A 22,268-nucleotide genomic window follows, 5' to 3' on the forward strand; every position below is an offset into this window, starting at 1 on the left:
TGGGCTCTTCTCTGTCACTTTCAGTGGGCTACCTTCCCTCACCTCTCCAAGCAGCATGAAAGAATTCTTTACATTTTTAATCTCTTTTTTGTTTTTCCCTGAAAGTATGCTTTGGTGCTTAAAGAGAGAAGTCACAAAAGTATACTACTGAGTTTCCTGGAGATGAAATCCTGTTGTCCCTAGCTATGTGAATGAGCACAGGGATCCCTGATGCCATTATTTTGTATATTCATACGGCACACACTTACTGAGGGCCTTCTGTGTGCCCTAGGGGATTGAGCACAGTGACATATCAGGGCAGGTAGAAACAGATGGAGAGCTGATGCGGGCTGTCTTAGAGCAGCTGCCCCAGGAGGCCCCTGTGGATGGATGTTGGGCAGGAGCCCTGAGACGTTAGGGGCATATAACTAAAGGACATAGCAGGAGTTATAGGAGGAGCTGATCCCTGAGGGAAACAATGAAGACGGAGAAGATGGGGCTAAAGTTTGAATTGTGGGGACATTAATCACAGTGATTCTTAAAACTTTGCTGTTGATGATTTTAAATGGAGAAAATGAGTACGTAAGATGTTATTTCCCAGTTCAGTATATTGGTTGCCCACAAAGTATTTTCCTACCATGAATGGTCATATATACTTGTTGTAGAATACCAGGGACAGCAGAGATGGTGGGGTAGTTACTTCCTTTTCTTACAGCCCAAGAACTTTGGTGTCCAGGAGATTGACCAATTTAGCCACTGAGCATTTAATACAACACAGGGCTACCCAGATCCCACTGTCCTGATTTGCCCTGAAAGCCAAAGGAGTTAGGAGAAGGTGAGTGGGGAGAATATATTAATCCTGAGAGTTGAACAGAGCAAAAATCCCTATTACTTTTGTACTTAAAACATCTCTGCCACATGTGCTCACTCTTTATATTCTGTTTAGGTGGTTTATATGTGCACATCCCATCCTATGCCTGCAGTTAGCCAACTCAGGGTTTATATTGCCTCCTTTCTTTTTTTCTTTTTTTTTTTTTTTTTAAGAGATGGGGTCTCATTCTATCATGCAGACTGGAGTGCAGTGGTGTGATCACAGCTCATTGTAACCTCCAACGCCTGGACTAAAGTGATCCTCCTACCTTGGCCTCTCTGGTAGCTGGGACTACAGGTGCATGCCACCACACCCACCTAATTTTTTTTATTTTTATTTTTTGTAGAGACAGTCTCACTATCTTGCTCAGGCTAGTCCTGAACTCCTGGGCTCAAGTTATCTTGCTGCCTCAGCCTCCCATGGGTAATTTTTATTTCCTTTTTTTTTTTTTTTGGAGATGGAGTTTCGCTCTTGTCGCCCAGGCTGGAGTGCAATGGCACGATCTTGGCTCACTGCAGTCTCCACCTCCTGGGTTCAAGTGATTCTCCATCCTCAGCCTCCTGAGTAGCTGAGATTACAGGCAACTGCCACCATGCGCGGCTAATTTATGTATTTTTTTTTAGTAAGAGATGGGGTTTCACCATGTTGGCCAGACTAGTCTTAAACTCCTGACCTCAAGCGACCTGCCTGCCTTGGCCTCCCAAAGTGCTGGGATTACAGGCATGAGCCGCTATGCCTCGTCGCTGATTTTTATTTCTTATTTTTTTTTTAGAGATGGGGGTCTCACTATGTTGCTCAGGCTGATCTCAAACTCCTGGCCTCAAGTGATCCTCCCACCTTAGCCTCCCAAGTTGCTGGGATTATAAGTGTGAGCCACTATCCCTACCTCACTATTACCTTCTTTGCTTCTCTTGTTTTCTTTTGTTCTAAGTCAAACCCATCACAATCTTTTCTTGTCCTTCCAGGTGTTTTCCAGTGCTGTGCCCTGGATGTGCTCTCTTTCTCTTAGAGCCCAGAGAACTTGCTTTTCCCCCTTATATATGACCCTTAACTTTTTCTAACACATTATTAAGGGCCTGTGTCTATCAGCTGGGGGCACTTCTTGAAGGGAGGGCCTTTGTGTGGTCTGTTTCTAGTGACTTCCAGCTTTAACCCAGAGCCTCATGATTGCTGGGTGCCCATAGCCTTTTTGCTGAATGGAGGCACTCAGTCTCCTTGGGAAGAGAGAATCCATGATAGACCCACTTGGGAGCTCCCCACTTCAGGGGCCTACACACTGGTAATGCAACAGAATGCCCAAGAGTGACCTCATAAAGCAAGGATTCCCTTCGTGGCCCCTTCTCTGCTGCCTCTCAGAATCCAGACGCTAAGGAAAATCCCTAAGCAGAGATTTTCTGTTGGATGCTAAAAGCAAGGAATAAAAGTTGAAAATTTGGAAAATGTCTCAACACCGTCACCAGCGCCACTCGAGAGTCATTTCTAGTTCACCAGTTGACACTACATCGGTGGGATTTTGCCCAACATTCAAGAAATTTAAGTAAATATTATCTATCTCCATTGCCTGTTAAGAAATGTGCTAGTAGAAGTGTGAGGGCAGGGTGTCAGTGTTCTCTCAGCCTCTTCCCTCAGATACTCGTCTGCTTACCAAAATAAGTTGCATGTCCTTGACAATCTGGTTTCTATGATTGGTGAGGCTGGCATGCTATTACCTTTATGTGCCCTGTAGACTTGAATGACCAGTTTGACCAGTTTGACTGTTAGATAATCTGAAGGCTTTTCTCTTTTTTTATAATAGACCCCATCTCAAATCAGATAATGAAAATTACATATCTTGATATATTAGAAAAGTATATACATTCTGGCTGGGCACGGTGGCTCACACCTGTAATCCCTGCACTTTGAGAGGCTGGGGCGGATCACTTGAGGTCAGGAGTTTGAGACCAGCCTGGCCAACGTGGCGAAACCCCATCTCTACTAAAAATACACAGATTAGCCCGGAGTGATGGTGTGCACCTGTTGTCCCAGCTACTCAGGATGCTGAGGCAGGAGAATCCCTTTAACCTGGGGGGCGAAGGTTGCAGTGAGCCAAGATTGCACCACTGCACTCCAGCCTGGGTGACAGAACGAGACTCTGTCTCAGAAAAAAAAAAAAAGAAAAGGAAAAAGAAAAATATATATTCTATATTTTTTTAACTTATGAGAATGTGTTCATTTCATTTGTAACATATAATGGGAAACAGTAATACGTACTCTGAGAAAAATTGCAAAGCACAGATAAATGGAAATAAACAGGAAAAAGAATCACCTATAACCTCACCATCCATAGACAGACACTGTTAAAATTTTGGCATATTTCCTGCTGATTTTTTCTACTGCTGATTTTTGCACAGGTGAGATAATTTTGAACAGAGAATTTTGTATCTTTGGTTTTTGTGTTTTGCTGCACACAAAAACAAAAGATATAAAAATGGATCATAAACATTTTTCTAAATCCTGAAAAATGCATAGACATATTTTAGTGCCTGTATTTCACAAGATGGACATACCATAATTTACTTACACAGTCCTTTTTGTTAGATGTTTAAGTTGTTTTCAAGCTTCTCAGTGCTGGAAAAAATACTGAGATAGACATGTTTAGTTGAAGTTATTTCATTTCAGGTTATATTATCTTGGGTCAGAGAATGAATGGTTCTCAGGCTTTTCAAAAGAGCTGGTCAGTTTTTATGCCTCTGGCAGTTTTTGAGAGTGCTCAATCATACTACACTGTTGCCAGCATTAGATCTTATCACATTTAAGTCATTGCTAATTTTATAAACAAAAACAATGGTTTTACTTTGCATCTCCCTGATTGGTATTGCTGTAGAACATATTTGGAGAAGTTTGTTTGTCTTTGGTGTTTATTTCATGAATAGATTGTGTGCCCATTTTCTCTTGGGGTATTCAGTTTTTTATTACTGATGTGAGCATGTGTATGGGTGATTATTTGATGATTATCAGTTTTGCTTAGTAGACTGGCAATATTTAGTCTTGCTGTCACTGTGTTCCCAGTGCCTACTAGATTGCTTGATATGTAGTTGCCACTCAATAAAGATTTGTTGAGTCAATGAAGATGACACTTTGTTTTGCTGGAGAAGGAGTGGTGACCATTCTTTTTCAGAGGTCCAGGGAGAGGGAGCTAAGTAACTGAGTGAGGACAGAGTATCCATGATCATCATATATATGTCAGTGGTCATTTATTCAACATCTCATTGCTATTTAAAAGTATATGTAAATTTATATTCACACAAGGGAGAAAGCAGAGCCTTGTCCCTACAAAAAGGTATGCATTTTATGGGGATCTAGCTCTATTGTGCTGTAACCATACTTCACATTCAACTTTTTGACAGGAGGAACGATGATGAATGTCGGGCATTTGTGAAGAGAGTCATAATGAGCCGTTTCTTTAAGATAATTATGATTAGCACTGTCACATCGAATGCGTTTTTTATGGCCTTGTGGACCAGTTATGACATAAGGTACCGCTTGTTCAGACTTCTTGAGGTAAGCAGACAAAATGGGTCCATTTTCTTCTTTTTTTAAAACATGCTTTATTTCTGGAAACATTATAAGATTTTTTTTTTTTTCCGAGACAGAATCTCACTCTGTCAGGCTGGAGTGCAGTGGCGTGATCTCAGCTCACTGCAACCTCCATCTCCACCTCCCAGGTTCAAGCGATTCCTCTGCCTTAGCCTCCTGAATAGCTGGGATTATAGGCACCCGCCACCACGCCCAGCTAATTTTGTATTTTTAGTAGAGACGGGGTTTCACCTTCTTGGCCAGGATGGTCTTGATCTCTTGACCTCGTGATCCACCCGCCTCAGCCTCCCAAAATGCTGGGATTACAGGCGTTAGCCACCATGCCCAGCCCATTATAAGATTTTAAGGGTATTTTGCTTCAAGAAATTTTCTGTAGAATTCTAAAAATACTCTAAAATCTGGGAAGAGGGTGGCAAGAGCAGCAGTGGTGACATGGTGGATTTTTTTTTTTTTTTTTTTTTGAGACAGAGTCTCGCCCTGTTGCCCAACCTGCAGTGCAATGGTGCTATCTTGGCTCACTGCAACCTCTGCCTCCCAGGTACAAGTGATTCTCCTGCCTCAGCCGACTGAGTAGCTGGGATCACAGGCACACACCATCATGCTTGGGTAATTTTTGTGTTTTTAGTAGAGATAGGGTCTTGCCATGTTGGCCAGGATGGTCTTGAACTCCTGACCTCAAGTGAGCTGCCTGCGTCGGGCTCCCAAAGTGCTGGCATTACGGGCATGAGCCATCGCGCCTGGCCAGTGACATGGTTTTTAAGTCTCCTTGAATCTCCTCTCAAAAACTGAGCAAGCCTGGGCAACAAAGTGGGACTCCTATCTCTCTTTTTTTTTGTTTTGAGACGAAGTCTCGCTCTGTCACCCAGGCTGGAGTGCAGTGGCGCAATCTCGGCTCACTGCAAGCTCCACCTCCTGGGTTCACGCCATTCTCCTGCCTCAGCCTCCCGAGTAGCTGGGATTACAGGCGCCCGCCACAACGCCCGGCTAATTTTTTGTATGTTTAGTAGAGATGGGGTTTCACCGTGTTAGCCAGGATGGTCTCAATCTCCTGACCTCGTGATCCGCCCTCCTCGGCCTCCCAGAGTGCAGGTATTACAGACGTTAGCCACTGTGCCCGGCCCCTCCCATCTCTATTAAAAAAAAAAAGTTGGGCATGGTGGTGCATACCTTGAGTCCCAGCTACTCTAGAGGTTTAGGTGGGAGAATTGCTTGAGCCTGGGAGTTCGAGGCTGCAGTGAGCTGTGATTGCACCACTGCACTCTGGCCTGGGCAACAGAGTGAGACCTTGTCCTAAACAACCAACCAAAAAAACCAGAGCAACTAGGTAGCAAAGCCAAGAACCCACAGGCAGCATTTACAACAAAACTGGTTAGTTTCCTTACTACAAGCCGTAAGAACTGAATAGTATGTCTCTGTGGGGAAAGAAACAGAGGGAAGCCATTATTTATTTATTAGAAAGTGTGATGGGCTGATGTGAGAACAGCATTTGATATCAGTAACAGTATTGTCTAATCCAATACTGGGCTAGATCAAGAGGTTCCTGGTAATTTTTGAAGGGGCTAGAGGAGCAGATGGTGTGAACTTTCAAAGCTGACCAGCTAGAGGTCTTTTTAAAGACAGGATCCCACAGTTGGGATAAATACTGGAAATGGAATAAAAATTGAGCAGGTTAGAGACATAGAGATGAAGGAAGAGAAGGTTCAGATAAAATTGGAGGAGGAACCAGGATACCTCAAAAATCAAGCTACTGCGTTTTTAAACACAACACAAAAGCAGAAGAATGAGCTCAGTGAGGTTAGAACCACACCATCTTCTAAAAGCTCAAGAAAACAAATTTTATGTAAAACAGCACAATAGAAAAAGATTGATGCTGCTATAGTTGTGTTTTTAGAAAAAAAAGGGTTGAGATAAAGTCTCATACACAATTACTGTAAGAAAAAAGAGAATGAGGTAGAGAATAATCCCCTTATACAGGCTGAGCATCCCGAATTTGAAAATCTGGAACCTGGAATGCTCCAAAATACAAAATATTCTGAGCACTGACGTGACACTCAAAGGAAATGCTTACTGGAGCATTTTGGATTTTGGATTTTCAGATGTGGGTTGCTCAACTGGTAAAGAAAATGCAAATATTCCGAAATCCAAAAACTTTGAAATCCAAAACACTTCTGTTCCCAAGCATTTCAGATAAGAGATACTTAACCCGTAGATAATGAAAGCCCACCACAAAGACATGCCCACAAAACAGGGAGAGACTGTAGCATATGACTTTAAAACAAGCCAGATGTTTAAGAAAGTGATACAAGATAGGAAAGAACAGAAGTGAAAAGACAAAACTCAGGAAAGAACTAGAAATAAAAATTTCAAAAATAAAGACTAAAATAGACTAAGCAATTAATTGCAACAGATAATAGCTTAAGAGAAGTATAGGATTAAATGTAGGAAATTTTTTAAATCAATAAGAAATGAAGACATGAAAAGGTTTCAAGAGAAAATGATGAACATCGAAGATGGGGAAAAAAAAATCCAGTGTAATGACAATAGGAGCCCCTGAATTTGAAATAAAACAGACACAAAGCAAAGGAACAGAACAAATGCTAAAGTGTATAATCCAAGAAAAGTTACCTGAAACAAAAGATTTGGAACTATACGTTGAAAGAGCACACATTGCATACCTGAGAATATGGAGTTTGAACAATAAACACCAAAACATATTCTAGTAAAATTATTGGATTTTAAAGGAAAGAGGGGGTGAAGGAAACTAAGTATCAATGCAATGTGGCTTATAAGAAGATAATCACTTATCATCAAACTTTGCTATGGTAATATGTTATGCCAAAAGAAAATAGAGTTACATATTTAAGATACTTCAGCAAAGAAAATGTAAACCAAGAATTTTAGATCAGAAAAATTGACTTTCAAGTATAAAGGACATAGACAAATTCATCAATATTCAAAAACTTGGGGAATATTGTTTCCAAGAGCCCTTCCTTAGTAATTTACTAAAGAATAGGTTTCAGCCAACCAAAATGATTAGAGAAGCATCAACATTAGGACTGAAGATGAGCATTAAATATGTAGTTATTTGTAGAACTAATATTAATTGTGGTTTAGCAGAGAGAATATAGTATATAATGAATGCATCATCTGACAGTGAAGATAGAGTATGACTAAAAAATGGGAGACAATGGGGAAAGCCAAGATAAAAAGTTTCAAAATCATTTTCAGTAATCAACTTAGTGGCAACAGTATTAGTAGTGTTATTCTGAGACTTGTATGTCTGTAATACAGGATAAGGCAATTGAGTAATTATGGGACAGTTTATTTCTGTCATCTCCTGTGTTCTTAAGAACCAGGATACTCATGGAGGAGAGAACCCAGGACTTCTTTGAGAAATAACCAATTCCAGGTCTAGGGCAGGAGGTACACAAGATGAACCATGATTATCTTGTCATAGACATTAGCAAGGAAGCTATCAAAGACTACTGGGGTCATGTCAAAAGTCTCAGGAGACTATGTGAAGAGTCCTACTGGCCAAAGATGGGACAGTTTGAGCTCCAATAAGAAGAATAATTGCCATGTATTGAAACTCATTAAATAATCTGTGAGGTTTTACTACTGGCCAAAGATGGGACAGTTTGGGCTCCAGTAAGAATAATAATTGCAATGTATTGAAATTCACCAAATAATCTATGAGGTTTTAATGATACCCCAAAACAAACTGTCCACTTTTGGAGGATGATAAGGAGCTAATCCTTTATCTTGATAATTAGTAAATTAAGGGAAAGAGTCAAGCATTACTGACCTTATGTGAACTGCAATACTGAGTAAGCATATAGTAGGTGAGGGGAAACATCTTTTTATAGATGTGTCCCCCTTAATAAATGAAAAAGAAATGATAGAATATCACAGTTTTTCAATGCCCAAAGAAGTTATTGATCTAGGCACTGAGCATCAATGAAAAGAGAGACAACCAGAAATTATGTGCCGTCTATAAAAGAACAGCACCTCTAATCTTGCCAAAGAGATCAGGAAATATGGAGGCCAGAGGGATATGCTGAACTGTACCATGAGCGTGCACTCAGCAAAATCCAGACTGGGAGATTTTACAAGTCAAACTCCCCAGGTTCTTTAACAGATAAATTGTAAGGAAAGAAAAAGGAATGGGAGACTTAAAAGATACACCAAAAGTTTAAAAATTTATAAAATGGCAAGACGACTTATTAGTTCTAGGGATGGATGCATGAATTTTTATCTATAAAGAAATGCAAGGTATTAATTACTATAAAAATTTGGATAGTGGTTAATTTTGGGTGGAGGGAGGGAGTTGTAATTGGGATGTGGGACATGTGAGGGGCTTCTGGGATGGCAGAGTTCTATTTCTTGACCTAGGTGGTAGTTACAGGGATATTGGCCTTGAAATAATTTATTACACTATATATTTGTTCATGTGGTTCTATATGTGTGTTTATTTTGCAATAAAAAGGTTAAAAATATACTCTTCTTATCTTTAGGATAAATAACACATTTCCTTCTTGGGGGTGAAAAGGTTAGCATAAACATAATGTGGTATCAGAGGCAGTCGAGGTGGTGGGATACCACAATTAATGCTTAAAATGTGTCAGATCCACTTGGCACCACTTCTGTGAACATGTTGGTATGGCAGTGAATTCCACACCACAAATCCAGAGATTGGTTATGGACTGTGGAACATCATGTTAGGTATAGGACTTGGCAGGGGTCAGGGAAAGAGACAAATTGAGGAGCCTAAACCCTCTGTTTGCCTCCCTGATGCCATAAGGGTCACTAAGCATGTATCCTGGTTTAGGGACCTGGTTTGCAAGCCTAGGGGATGTTCTGTGATGGGCAGACTTTGGAGTTATACAGATTTGGGTTCAAGCCCCAGCTTCCTACCTTATTACTAACTGAGAATTTGGACAAATTACTTAAGCTCTCTGTGGTTTGTCTGCAACATTTGTAAAATGATATAATTAATATACAACTTACAGGGTGGTGGTACAGCCATTGAAAATAACATGTATGAAAGCCCCTGGTTAACTGTGAAACTGAGAAATTATTAACACTTCTGGGAACTCCACTGAAGGTGCCGGGAAAGATGTGAGAGAGCCCTGATCTCTCACCTCTGGCTAACCTTGAGGCTCTGTGCAAGCAGGAAATGAAGGCTGAGGCAGAGTGGTAAGTTGCTAGAGCATTGAACATGTGGAAATGCTGTAGGAAAGCTTATAAAAAAAGACAAACAAACAAACAAAAAAAACCCAGGCAACATAGTGAGACCCTGTCTCTGTGGGGAAAAACAAACAAACAAACAAACAAAAAAAACAGGCATGGTGCCATGTGTCTATAGTCCCAGCTGCTCAGAAGTCTGAGGTAAGAGGATTGCTTGAGCTCAGGAGGTCAAGGCTGTAGTGAGCCATGATTGCACCACTGCACTCCCAGCTGGATGACAGAGTGAGACGTTGTCTCTTATTAAAAGACAACAAATAAATGCTGGTGAGGATGTGGAGAAAGGGGAACTCATACATTGTTGGCAGGAATGTAAATTAGTACAGCTGTTATGGACAACATTATGGAGGTTCCTCAGAAAATTAGAACTACCATATGATTCAACAATCCCACTACTAAGTATATAGCCAAAGAAAATGAAATCTGTATATTGAAGAGATATCTGCAATCCCATGTTTATTGTAACACTGTTCTGAATAGCCAAGATATGGAATCAACCTAAGTGTTCATCAATGGATGAATGGATTTTAAAATGTGCTATATATACACAATAGAATACTATTCATATGTAACAAAGGACAAAATCCTGTCATTTGCAGCAATGTGGATGAACTTAGAAGACATTATGTTAAGTGAAATAAGCCAAGCACAGAAGAACAAATACTACATGATCTCACTCATGTGGAATCTAAAAAAGTTGACTCATAGAGGTAGTATATTAGTTAGTTTTTGCATTGCTATAAAGAAATACCTGAGGCTGGGTAATTTATAAATAAAAGAGGTTTTATTTTGGCTCATGGTTCTGCAGGCTGTACAGGAAGCATAGTACCAGCATCTGCTTCTGGTGATGCTGGCACCAGATGCTTGGGAGGATTGCTTGAGCCTGAGTGATGATCTGTGATCACACCTCTGCACTCCAGCCTGGGTGACAGAGCAAGACCCCATACCAAAACAACAAAAACAAAACCCCACCCCACCCCACCCCCAAAAAAACCCAAGGTCTGTTCTATTGCCTCTGCAACCAAGGAGCAGGGTTTCACATTGGGAATGTAAGCTGGTGCAAGGGGTGGGCTCCCGGGGCCTTGGGAAGCTCCACCCCAGTGGCTTTGCACAGTGCACTCCCTGTGTCTGCTCTCATGGGTTGGAGTTGAGTACTTGCAGCTTTTCTAGGCTTAGGATGTAAGCTGCTCATGGCTCTATCATTCTTGGGTCTGGAGAGCAGTGGGTCCCTTCCCAGAGCTCCACTAGGCAGTGCCCTAGTGGAGACTGTGTGGGGGCTCTAGCCCCAAATTTCCTCTTTGCACTGCTTTAGTAAAGGTTCTCTGTGAGGACTCTGGCCCTATAGCAGGCTTCTGCCTGGACACCTGGGCTTTCTTGTACATCTTCTGAAATCTAGGGGAAAGCTGCTAAACCTCCATCACTCTTGCATTCCCTAAGCCCACAGACTTAACACCATGTGGAAGCCACCAAGGCTTGCAGCAGCTTGTGCTCTCCAAAGTCATGGCCCCAGCAATATGGGTTCCAGAGCAGACCTTATTTGAGCTAAGACTGGAGCTGGAGAAGCCAGGATGTGGGGAGCAGTGTCCCAAGGCTGCTCAGGGCAGCAGGGCCCTGGGCCTGGCCCCAGAAATCATTCAGTCCTCTTAGGCCCCTGGGCCTGTTATGAGAGGGGCTGCCTTGATCTCTGAAATGCCTTCAGGGCCTTTTCCCCATTGTCTTGGTTATTAGCACTTAGCTCCCTTTCAGTCATGCTAATCTCTCTAGCAAGTCATTGCTTCATAGCCTGCTTGAATTTCTCTCCTGATAGGGCTTTCTCTGTCTCTGGCAAATGGCGAGTCTGCAAATTGTCCAGACTTTTATACTGTGCTTCCCTTTTAAATATAAGTTCCAACTTTAACCTCTCCTTTCCTCCCATATCTGATCATAGGCTGTTAGAAGCAGCCAGGACACATCTTGAACATTTTGCTGCTTAGAAATTTCTTCCGCTAGATTCCCTAAGTCATCACTCTTATGTTCAGCTTTCCACAAAGCCCTAGGATATGGAAACAATGCAACCAAGTTCTTTGCTAAGGGATAACAAGGGTGACCTTTATTGTAGTTCTCAATAGACTCCACATTTCCATCTGAGACCTCATCAGCCTGGGCTTCACTGTCCATGTCTTTATCAGCATTTTGGTCACAACCATTTAACCAGTCTCTAAGAGGTTCCAAACTTTTCCTCGTCTTCCTGACTTCTGAGACTTCCAAGCTCTTCCATTCTCCCTGTTACTTAGTTCCAAAGCTGCTTCCACATTTTCAGGTACCTTTATATCGGTACCACACTTCTGGTACCATTTTCCCATATTAGTTTTTGTGTTGCTGTAAAGAAATACCTGAGGCTGAGTAATTTATAAAGAAAAGAGGTTATATTTTGGCTCATGGTTCTGCAGACCATAAAAGAAGTATGGTGCCAGCATCTGCTTTTGGTGAGGGTCCCAGGAAGCTTACATGGTAGAGGGCAAAGGGGAGCCAGCATGTCACATGGTGAGAGAGAGAGCAAGAGAGAGAGGGGGGAACTGCCACACACTATTAAACAACCAGATCTCATGTAAACTCAGAGTGAGAACTCACTTATCACCAATGGAATGGTGCTAAACCATTCATAAGGGATCTGCTCCCACGATCCAGTCAACTCCTGCTGGGCCCCATCTCCAACACTGGGAACCACATTTCAACATGAGATTGGGAGGAGACGAACATCCAAACCGTATTATGTCAATAGTGGTTGCTAAAGGCTGGGAAGAGCAGGGGGGAAGGAGAGGAGCAGAGGTTGGTTAATGAGGTACAAAGTTACAGTTAGATAGGAGGAATTAATTTTGGTGTTCTGTGCAATAGGGTGATGATATTTAGCAATATGCGTTGTATACTTCAAAATAGCTAGAAGAGAGGACTTTGAATGTTCTTATCACAAAGAAATGGCGTGTTTGAGGTGATGAATATGCTGATTACCCTGATTTGACATTACACATTGTATATATGTCTTGAAATATCATACTGTACCCCATAAATACATACAATTATTATATGTCAATTAAAAACAAAATAAACGTTAAAAAACAAAACACAATCTATAAAAAAACTGATTGCAAACATTATACTTAATGATGAGAAACTTGATGCCTTCCTACGAAGATCAGGAACAAGAAAAGGATGCTTACTTTCACCACTCCTATTTAACATCATACTGGAAGTCATGGCTAATGCAATAAAACAAGAAAAAGAAATAAACATGTAAAGACTGGAAAGGAAGAAATAAAACTGTCTTTGTTCACATATATATTTTAAAAGTTAGGAAAGTTTTGTTATATTTTCTTTTTTTTTTTTTTGAGACAGAGTCTTGCTCTGTTGCCCAGGTTGGAGTGCAGTGGGGCCATCTTGGCTCACTGCAAGCTCCGCCTACCAGGTTCACGCCATCCTCCTGCCTCAGCCTCCTGAGTAGCTGGGACTACAGGTGCACGGTGCCATGCCCGGCTAATTTATTTTTGTATTTTTAGTAGAGACGGGGTTTCACCATGTTAGCCAGGATGGTCTCGATCTCCTGACCTTGTGATCTGCCCGCCTCGGCCTCCCAAAGTGCTGGGATTACAGGCATGAGCCACCGTGCCCAGCCAGTTTTGTTATATTTTCACTGCCTTGTCCACTCCCCTCCCCAGCATGGTGATGATCCTGAAGACAGCAGCTCACATTCCTAATGTAGAACCCTGGTCCTTGGTTCCAGAGCAGACTTTATTTGTTTGTTTGTTGAGATGGGGTCTTGCTCTGTTACCCAGGCTGGAGTGCAGAGGCGTGATCACAGATCGTTGCAGCCTCAGCTGCTTGGGCTCAAGCAATCCTCCCACCTCAGCCTCCTGAGTAGCTGGGACCATAGGCATGCACCATCATGCCCAGCTAATTTTTGTATGTTTTGTAGAGATGGGGTCTCGCTATGCTGCCCAGGCTGGTCTCAGACTCCTGGGCTCAAGTGATCCACTCACCTTGGATCTCCCAACAGTCATGAGCCACCATGCACTAACCCAGACCTTGTTCTTAAAGAATTGTATTGGTCCATTTTGACCTGAGAGCCAGGTGAAGGACTGATGGAAGTTGACTGCTTTTGTTTCACCTAGCTTGGAATTTTCTCAAAGCAGAAAGGTGGCTATAGAGAGGGAATTTCTTACAAACATTAAAAGGCATGTGAACAGTCTATTGCTGCCTGGGGCAAAAAAAGTTAAAGCAAACAACGGACATACTGAAGTGTAGGAAGAAAGGCCTAGAAGGGAGATTCTTTGGATAAGTAGGACATTGAGAAGCTCCGGTGTATATGGAGAAATTTAGAAAGCATTCATGCCCAAGGCAGGACGAATGTTTCAAAAAGACCTAAGGTCTCAAGATTTCACCTTTAGCTGATCTTTAGGCTCAGTAAAAACTGGAAGTTAGGGGTAATGTAGAGTTGTAAATGGCTTTGCTAAGCCCTGAAAGAGTACCCCAACACAGAGCCAATCTAAAAAATCTAGGAGAACTTTTCTTCCTCCCTCCCTCCCTCCCACCCTCATTTCCCACCCTTCCCTCCCTCCTTTCCTACCCTTCCCTCCTTTTCTTCTTTCTTTTTGAGACAAAGTCTTACTCTGTTGTCTGGGCTAGAGTGAAGTGACATGATCATAGCTCACTGCAGCCTTAAACTCCTGGACTCAAGGGATCCTCCTGTCTCAGCCTGCTGAGTAGCTAGGACTACAGACATATATCACCATGCCCAGCTAATTTTTTAATTTTTTGTAGAGATGGGGTCTCACTATGTTGCCTAGGCTGGCCTTGAACTCCTGGCCTCAAGAGATCCTCCTGCCTGGGCCTCCCGAAGCACTGGGGTTACAGGCATGAGCCACCATGCCTAGCCTATCTTCTTCCTTTCCTTTTTCTCTCCTCTCCTTTATTCTCCTTTCTCTTTTTTTCTTTCCCTCCTCCCTCCCTCCCTCCTCTCTTCCTTCCTTCCCTCCCTCCTTCCCTCCTTCCCTCCTTCCTTTCCTCCTTTCTTTTTTTCTTTCTTTCTTTTTTTTTTTTTTTTGAGATGGAGTCTTGCTCTGTCACCAGGCTGGAGTGCTGTGGTGTGATCTTGGCTCACTGCAACCTCCAGCTCCCTGGTTCAAGTGATTCTCCTGCCTCAGCCTCCCGAGTAGCTGGGATTACAGGCATGCACCACCACACCCAGCTAATTTTTGTATTTTTAGTAGACATGGGGTTTCACCATGTTGGCCAGGATGGTCTCAATCTCCTGACCTCATGATCCTCCCTCCTCAGCCTCCCAAAGTGCTGAGATTACAGGTGTGAGCCACCACGCCTGGCCCCTTTCCTCCTTTCTTTATCAGACAGTCTCACTCTGTTGCCTGGGCTTGGGTGCAGTGACATGATTATAGCTCAATCAGCCTTAAACCCTTGGACTCAAAAGATCCCCACATATCAGCCTCCTGAGTAGCTAGGACTACATGCATACACCACCATGTCCAGGTAATGAAAAAATGTTTTTTGTAGATACAGTATCTCACTATGTTGCTCTCAAACTCCTGGCCTCAAGAGATTCTCCTGCCTTGGCCTCCCAAAGCACTGGGATTCAGGCATGAGTTACAATGCCTGGCCTTTCTCTCTCTCTCTTGCTCTCTTTTTCTTATTTCTTTTTATTTTTCCTTTTTCTTTCTTCCTCTTTCCTCCCTTCCTTCTTTTGTTTCTTCTTTCCCTCTTCTTCCCTTCATTTTTTCCCCAAACCCTCTCTCTCTCTCCCTTTTTTCCTTCTTTCTTTTTGCTTGAGACATTTAAGAAAATCTCTGTTGGCCGGGCACAGTGGCTCATGTCTGTAGTCACAGCACTTTGGGAGGCCCAGGCAGGCAGATCACTTGAGGTCATGAGTTCGAGACCAGCCTGGCCAACATGGTGAAACCCTGTCTCTAATAAAAATACAAAAAAATTAGCCAGGCATGGTGCCTGTAATCCCAGCTACTTGGGAGGCTGAGGTAGGAGAATTGCTTGAAGCTGGGAGGCAGAGGTTGCAGGGAGTTGAGATTGTGCCACTGCACTCTAGCCTGGGTGACAGAGTGAGACTCTGTCTCAAAAAATAAATAGAAAGAAAATCCCTGTCAAAACACTAGTTGACCAGAAAGTGAAGAAATAGAGACTTCAGAGATCACACACAACAAAGAATATAGTTCTTTGCAAAAATAGTTTAGAAAAGTCACTAAACAAGTAAATACAACTCACATAAAGCAACAAAAACAAACCATGAGGAGGGGGAAGAATTTGATTTCCAAACTTACCACGTTGCAATATTTAAAACATTTGGTTTTCAACAAAATATTATAAAGCAATCAAAGAAACAAAAATGTCTGACTTATACAATGAACAGAAACTCTTCCTGAGGAAACCCAGTCATTGGAATTACTAGACAAAGGCTTTAAAAATAAATGCTCAAAGAGGCCAGGTGCGGTGGCTTCTGCCTGTAATCCCGGCAATTTGGGAGGCTGAGGTGGGTGGATCACTTGAGGTCAGGAGTTGAAGACCAGCCTGGCCAATGTGGTGAAACATTGCCTCTACTGAAAATACAAAAATTAGCCAGGCTTGATGGCAGGGCCTGTAATCCCAGCTATTTGGGAGACTGAGGCAGGAGAATTGCCTGAACCCAGGAGACGGAGGTTATCTAGGGGGATTCAGTAACAGATTTGAGTAAATAGAATAAAGAATTGGTGAACTTGAAGACAGGTCAGTTGAACTTGTTCACTTTGAGAAGCAGAAAGAAAAAATGATGATAAATGAACAGAGCCTATGAGAACTGTGGGACACCATAAAACATACTAATATACACATAATAGGGGTTCCAGAAGGAGAGGAGAAAATAAGGCAGAAATAATATTTAAAGAAATAATGGCCCCAAATTCCCAAATTTGATGAGAGACATGAATATATACATCCAAAAATTCCAATGAATTCCAAGAAGGAGAAACATAAAAAGAGCCACACTAAGACATGTAATCAAACTGTCAAAAGCCAGAAATAAAGTGAGAATCTTGAAAACAGCAAGGGATAAGCAAGTTGTCACATACAAGAAACCTCAATAAGATTAACAGCCGATTTATCCTCAGAAACTATGGAGGCCAAAACACAGTGAAAAGCCATGTTTAAAATATAAAAGAAAAAATACTGTCAATGAGAAATACTGTATTCAGCAAAATTATCCTTCAAAAATGAAGGGGAAATAAAGACTTCCAGATAAACAAAAATGAGAGGGTTTGTTGCTAGTAAACCTGCCCTCAAAAAAATGATAAAAGTTGTTTTGTAGGTGGAAATGAACAAGACAGTAACTTGAACTCATACAAAGAAATAAAGAACTTGGGTAAGGCAACTGCATCAGTAAATACAAAAGCTAGTGTTATTGTGTATTTTGATTTGTAACTCTTTTTAAAAATATATGGTTTAAAATACCAATGTTATAGTTAATGGGCACACATGTTTGAAGGAGTAGTTTATAATCACAAAAACATGAAGGGAGAGAGATGAAGCTGTATAGAGCAGAATTGTTATATACTATTGAAGCTAAGGTTGTGTTAATTAAAAATAGATTGTTATAAATTTAAGAGGTTAATTATAATCCAAAGGGTAAGCACTAAGGGAACAACCAAAAAAACTGTACAGAAAAGGAAATGAGAAAGGAATCAAAATGGCACAGTACAAAAAAATCAGGTATATATGCAAAAAGGCAGTAATGGAGGAATTGAGGAACAAAAATATATGACATATAGAAAACAAATAGCAAAACAGCAGAAGTGTGTCCTTTATCTGTAATTACTTTAAATATAAATGGATTAAACTCTCCAATTAAAAGGCAGAGATGAACAGATTTTTAAAATCCCATTCATATGTTGTCTACAGGAGACTCACTTTAGATTCAAAGGTACAAATAGTCATGACCAGCCTGGCCAACATGGTGAAACCCCATCTCTACTAAAAATACAAAAATTAGCCAGGTGTGGTGGTGCACGCCTGTAGTCCCAGCTACCCAGGAGGCTAAGGCATGAGAATTGCTAGAACTCGGTGGCGGAGGTTGCAGTGAGCTGAAATTGCACCACTACACTGCAATCTGGGTGACAGAGTGAGACTCTGTCTCAAACAAATGAAGAAACAAACCAAAGATACAAATAGGTTGAAAGTGAAAGGATGGAAAAAGATATTCCAAACAAATAGAAACCAAAAGATAGCTGGGGTGGCTATACTAATATCAGACAAAATAGATAGTAAGGCAGAAACTGCTCTAAGAGAAAAGGAAGGACATTATATTGACAAAGGGATCAATTCATCAGGAAGATAAAACAATTTTTCTCTAGTACACAAGGATCACTCTCCAGGATAGATTATATATTAGACCATACAACAAATCTCAATAAATTAAAATATTGAAATCAAAGCAATCCTAAGCAAAAAGAAAAAGTCTGGAAGCATCACATTATCCAACTCCAAATTATACCACAAGGTTATAGTAACCGTAACAGCATGGTACTGGTATAAAAGTAGATGCATAGATGCAGTGGAAAAGAATAGAGAACCCAGAAATAAGGCCAAATACTTAGCAACCAACCCATATTCAAAGCATACAAAAACATAAATTGGGGAAAGGACACCCTATTCAATAAATGGTGTGGGGAGAACTGGTTAGCCACATGTAGAAGAATGAAACTGGATCCCTGTCTCTCACCATATACAAAAATTAACTCAATGGAATAAAGACTTACATCTAACACCTGAAACCACAAAAATTCTAGAAGGCAACCTGGGAAAAACTCTTCTGGACATTGGCCTAGGCAAACAGTTTATGATTGAGACCCCAAAAGCAAATGCAACAAAATTGTATAAATGGGACCCGATTCAACTAAAAAGCTTTTGCAAAGGAAATAATCAGAGTAAGTAGACAACATACACAATGGGAGAAAATATTTGCAAATTATGCATCTGACAAAGGAATAATATCCAAAATCTACAAGGAACTCAAAGAAATTAGAAAGAAAAACAAATCCCATTAAAAAATGGGCAAAGGCTATAAATAGACTTTTATCAAAAGAAGATACACAAATGGCCAACAAACATTTGAAAAAATGCTCCATATGACACTAATCAGCATGGAAATGTAAATTAAAACCACAATGACATACCACCTTACCCCAGCCAGAATAGCCATTATTAAGAAGTCAAAAAGCAACATAGATGTTGGTGTGGTTGTGGTGAAAAGGAAATGCTTATACATTGCTGGTAGGAAGCTAAATTAGGACAACCTCTATGGAAAACAGTATGGAGATTTCTCCAAGAACTAAAGGTGTATCTACCATTCAATCCAGCAATCCCACTACTGACTATCTCCCCAAAGGAAAAAAAAATCACTATATCAGACACCTGCATGCATTTTTTTTTTTTTTGAGATGGAATCTGGCTCTGTTGCCCAGACTGGAGTGCAGTGAGAGGCACGATCTCAGCTCCCTGAAACCTCTGCTCTCAGGTTCAAGTGATTCTCCCGCCTCAGCTTCCCGAGTAGCTGTGATTACAGGCATACGCCACCACGCCTGGCTAATTTTTGTATTTTTAGTGGAGACGGGGTTTTGCCATGTTGGCCAGGCTGGTCTTGAACTCCTGGCCTTGAGTGATCTGCCCACCTCAGCCTCCCAAAGTGCTGGGATTACAGTCATGAGTCACTGTGCCAGGTCTGCATGCATATGTTTATTGCAGTGCAATTCACAGTTGTAAAGAATTGGTATCAACCTAAGTGCCCATCAACCAATGAGTGGATAAAGAAAATGTGATATATATACACGATGAAATACTACTCAGCCATTAAAAAAGAACAAAAGAATGTCTTTTGCAGCAACTTGGATGGAATTGGAGGGTATTATTCTAAGTGCAGTAACTCAGGATTCAAAAACCAAATACTGCATATTCTCACTTATAAGTGGGAGCTAAACTGTGGGTATGCAAAGGCAAACAGAGTGGTATAATGGACATTGTGGGGAGACAGTGAACTCAGAAGGGGGAGGTTGGGAGGAGGGTGAGGGACAAAAAACTACCTATTGGGTTCAATGCACACCTACATGGGTGATGGGTGCATCCAAGTAGTGTACATTGCACCTAATAGGTAGTCTAAAGTCCCAGACTTCCCTGCTACACAATTCACCCATGTAACCAAAAACCATGTGTACCCCTAAAAGTATTGAAATAGGCCAGGGGCAGTGGCTCACATCTGCAATCCCAGCACTTTGGAAGGCCAAGATGGGAGGATCACTTAAGTCCAGGAATTTGAGATTAGCCTGGACAACATAATGGGACCCCCATCTATTAAAAAAAAAAAAGAGTGGTGATGTATGCCTGTAGTCCTAGCTGCTTGGGAGGCTGATGTGGGAGGATCACTTGAGCCCAGGAAGTCAAGGGTGCAGTGAGCCATGACTGTGTCACTGCACTCCAGACTACGTGATAGAGCAAGATCTTGTCTCAAACAAACAAACTGACAAAATCCCCCCAAACAAAAAACAATTGAAATTTTAAAAAAATTTAAAAAGAAACACACACACAAGAAACACACACACACAGCCATATATATATACATATATAATGAATTCTACCAGTCACTTAAATATATATATACATAAAATTAGACAAAGTATCTTCACTGACAGCAATGAAACGGAACTACAGAGGAAAACTACATTTTTCAAATATGTGTAAATTAAACAGCATACTCTTTTTTTTTTTTTCTGAGATGGAGTTTGGCTCTTGTTGCCCAGGCTGGAGTGCAATGGCACAATCTCAGCTCACTGCAACCTCTGACTCCTGGGTTCAAGCGATCCTCCTGCCTCAGCTTTCTGAGTAGCTGGGATTATAGGCATGTGCCACCACACCCAGCTAATTTTGTATTTTTAGTAGAGACACGGTTTCTCCATGTTGGTCAGGCTGGTCTCGAACTCCTGACCTCAGGTGATCCACTCACCTCGGCCTCCCAAAGTGCTGGAATTACAGGCGTGAGTCACTGTGCCTGGCCTTAAACAGCATACCCTTTTTTTTTTTTTTTTTTTTTGAGATGAAGTCTTGCTCTGTCTCCCAGGCTGGAGTGCAATGGCACAACCTCAGCTCACTGCAACCTCTGCCTCCCGGGTTCAAGCAATTCTCCTGCCCCAGCCTCCTGAGTAGCTAGGATTACAGGTGCATGCCACCGCGCCCAGCTAATTTTTGTATTCTTTAGTGGAGACGGGGTTTTGCCATGTTGGCCAGGCTGGTCTCGAACTCCTGACCTCAGGTGATCCACCTGCCTCAGCCTCCCAAAGTGCTGGGATTATAGGCGTGAGCCACCATGCCCAGCCAACAGCATACTCTTAACTAATGGGTCAGAGAAGAAATCACAAGCGAAATTAGAAAATATAAGATGAAAATAAAAAACATAACAAAACTCATAGGATGCAGTGAAAGCAGTGCTCAGAGGGAAATTTATACCTATAAATGCTTGACATTAGAAAAGAAGAAAGGTCTCAAATCAGTAACCTAACTTTATGCCTTAAGGAACGAGAAAAAGAAGAGCAGATAAAGCTAGCAGAAGGAAGGAAATAACAAAATACTAGAACGAGATAAACAAAATAGAGGGTAGAGGAACAATAGAGAAAATGAACAAAATCAAAAGTTGGTTCTTTAAAAAGATCAACAAATTGACAAGCCTTTAGCTAGATTGACTAAGAAAATAAGACTCAAATTACTAATGTCAGAAATGAAATTTGGGACATTTCTACTGATCTTATAGAAGCAAAAAGGGTTATAGGAGAATACTATAAGCAATTATATGCCAACAAGTTAAATAATCTAGATGAAATGGACAGCACACAATTGACTTAAGAAGAAATAGAAAACTGACCCATCAGAACAGATAACAAAAGGTTGAATCAGTAATCAAAAACCTCCCAACAAAGAAAATCTCAGGACCAGGTAGTTTCACATGTGAATTCTACCAGTCATTTAAGGAAAGATTAACACCAATTCTTCCCAAACTCTACCAAGAAATAGAAGAGGGAAGACTTCTGAGCTCATCCATGAGACCAGCACAAAACATCATTAAGTAAAGAAAACTATAGACAGATATTCTTTAAGAATATAGATACAAAAATTGTCATTGAGAGAGTAACAAACTGGAGCCAGAAGCATACTTAGCAGGATTATACACCACGATCAAGTGGGATTTATCTCAAGAAAGCAAGGGTGATTCAAAATACAAAAATCAATCAATGTAATACACCAGTAGAGTGAAGGAAAAAAATTCACCTTAGTTGATGTAGAAAAAGCATTTGATGAAATCCAGCATTCTTTCATTATACAAAAAAAATTAAACTACAAATAGAAAGGAAATTCCTTAACTTGATAAAGGGCATTTATGAAAAAACCCACAGTTAACTTCAGACTTAATTGAGAAAGACGAAAAGCCTTCCCCCTAAAATTAGGAACAAGACTAATATGACTGCTTTCACCACGATTTAACATTGTACTGAAAGTTCTAGCCAGAGTCATCAGGCGAGAAAAAGAAATA

At 41.1% G+C, this 22,268-nt stretch overlaps 1 protein-coding gene across 1 annotated transcript in view, besides 1 other annotated feature; it reads left to right on the top strand.

Annotated features, from left to right (window-relative positions):
• The first annotated feature begins 2,204 nt into the window (after nt 1–2,204).
• Nucleotides 2,205–22,268, top strand: part of CATSPER3 (cation channel sperm associated 3) — a 43,790-nt gene continuing 23,726 nt past the window's right edge. Inside the window, exons 1-2 of the mRNA NM_178019.3 lie at nt 2,205–2,387; nt 4,237–4,390. Of these exons, the coding sequence (NP_821138.1) occupies nt 2,290–2,387; nt 4,237–4,390 (252 nt within the window). The 5' untranslated portion in view covers nt 2,205–2,289. The remainder of the gene's footprint in view (nt 2,388–4,236; nt 4,391–22,268) is intronic.
• Nucleotides 11,163–11,675: an enhancer, noted in NCBI's record as "NANOG hESC enhancer chr5:134312555-134313067 (GRCh37/hg19 assembly coordinates)". NCBI's record gives its function as "activates a minimal SCP1, AML or CMV promoter by ChIP-STARR-seq in naive H9 embryonic stem cells {active_cell/tissue: H9 hESC(naive)}" and the evidence as "EXISTENCE:reporter gene assay evidence [ECO:0000049][PMID:30033119]".

This window comes from Homo sapiens, chromosome 5 (assembly GCF_000001405.40).
Source record: "Homo sapiens chromosome 5, GRCh38.p14 Primary Assembly".
Classification (NCBI taxonomy): domain Eukaryota; kingdom Metazoa; phylum Chordata; class Mammalia; order Primates; family Hominidae; genus Homo; species Homo sapiens.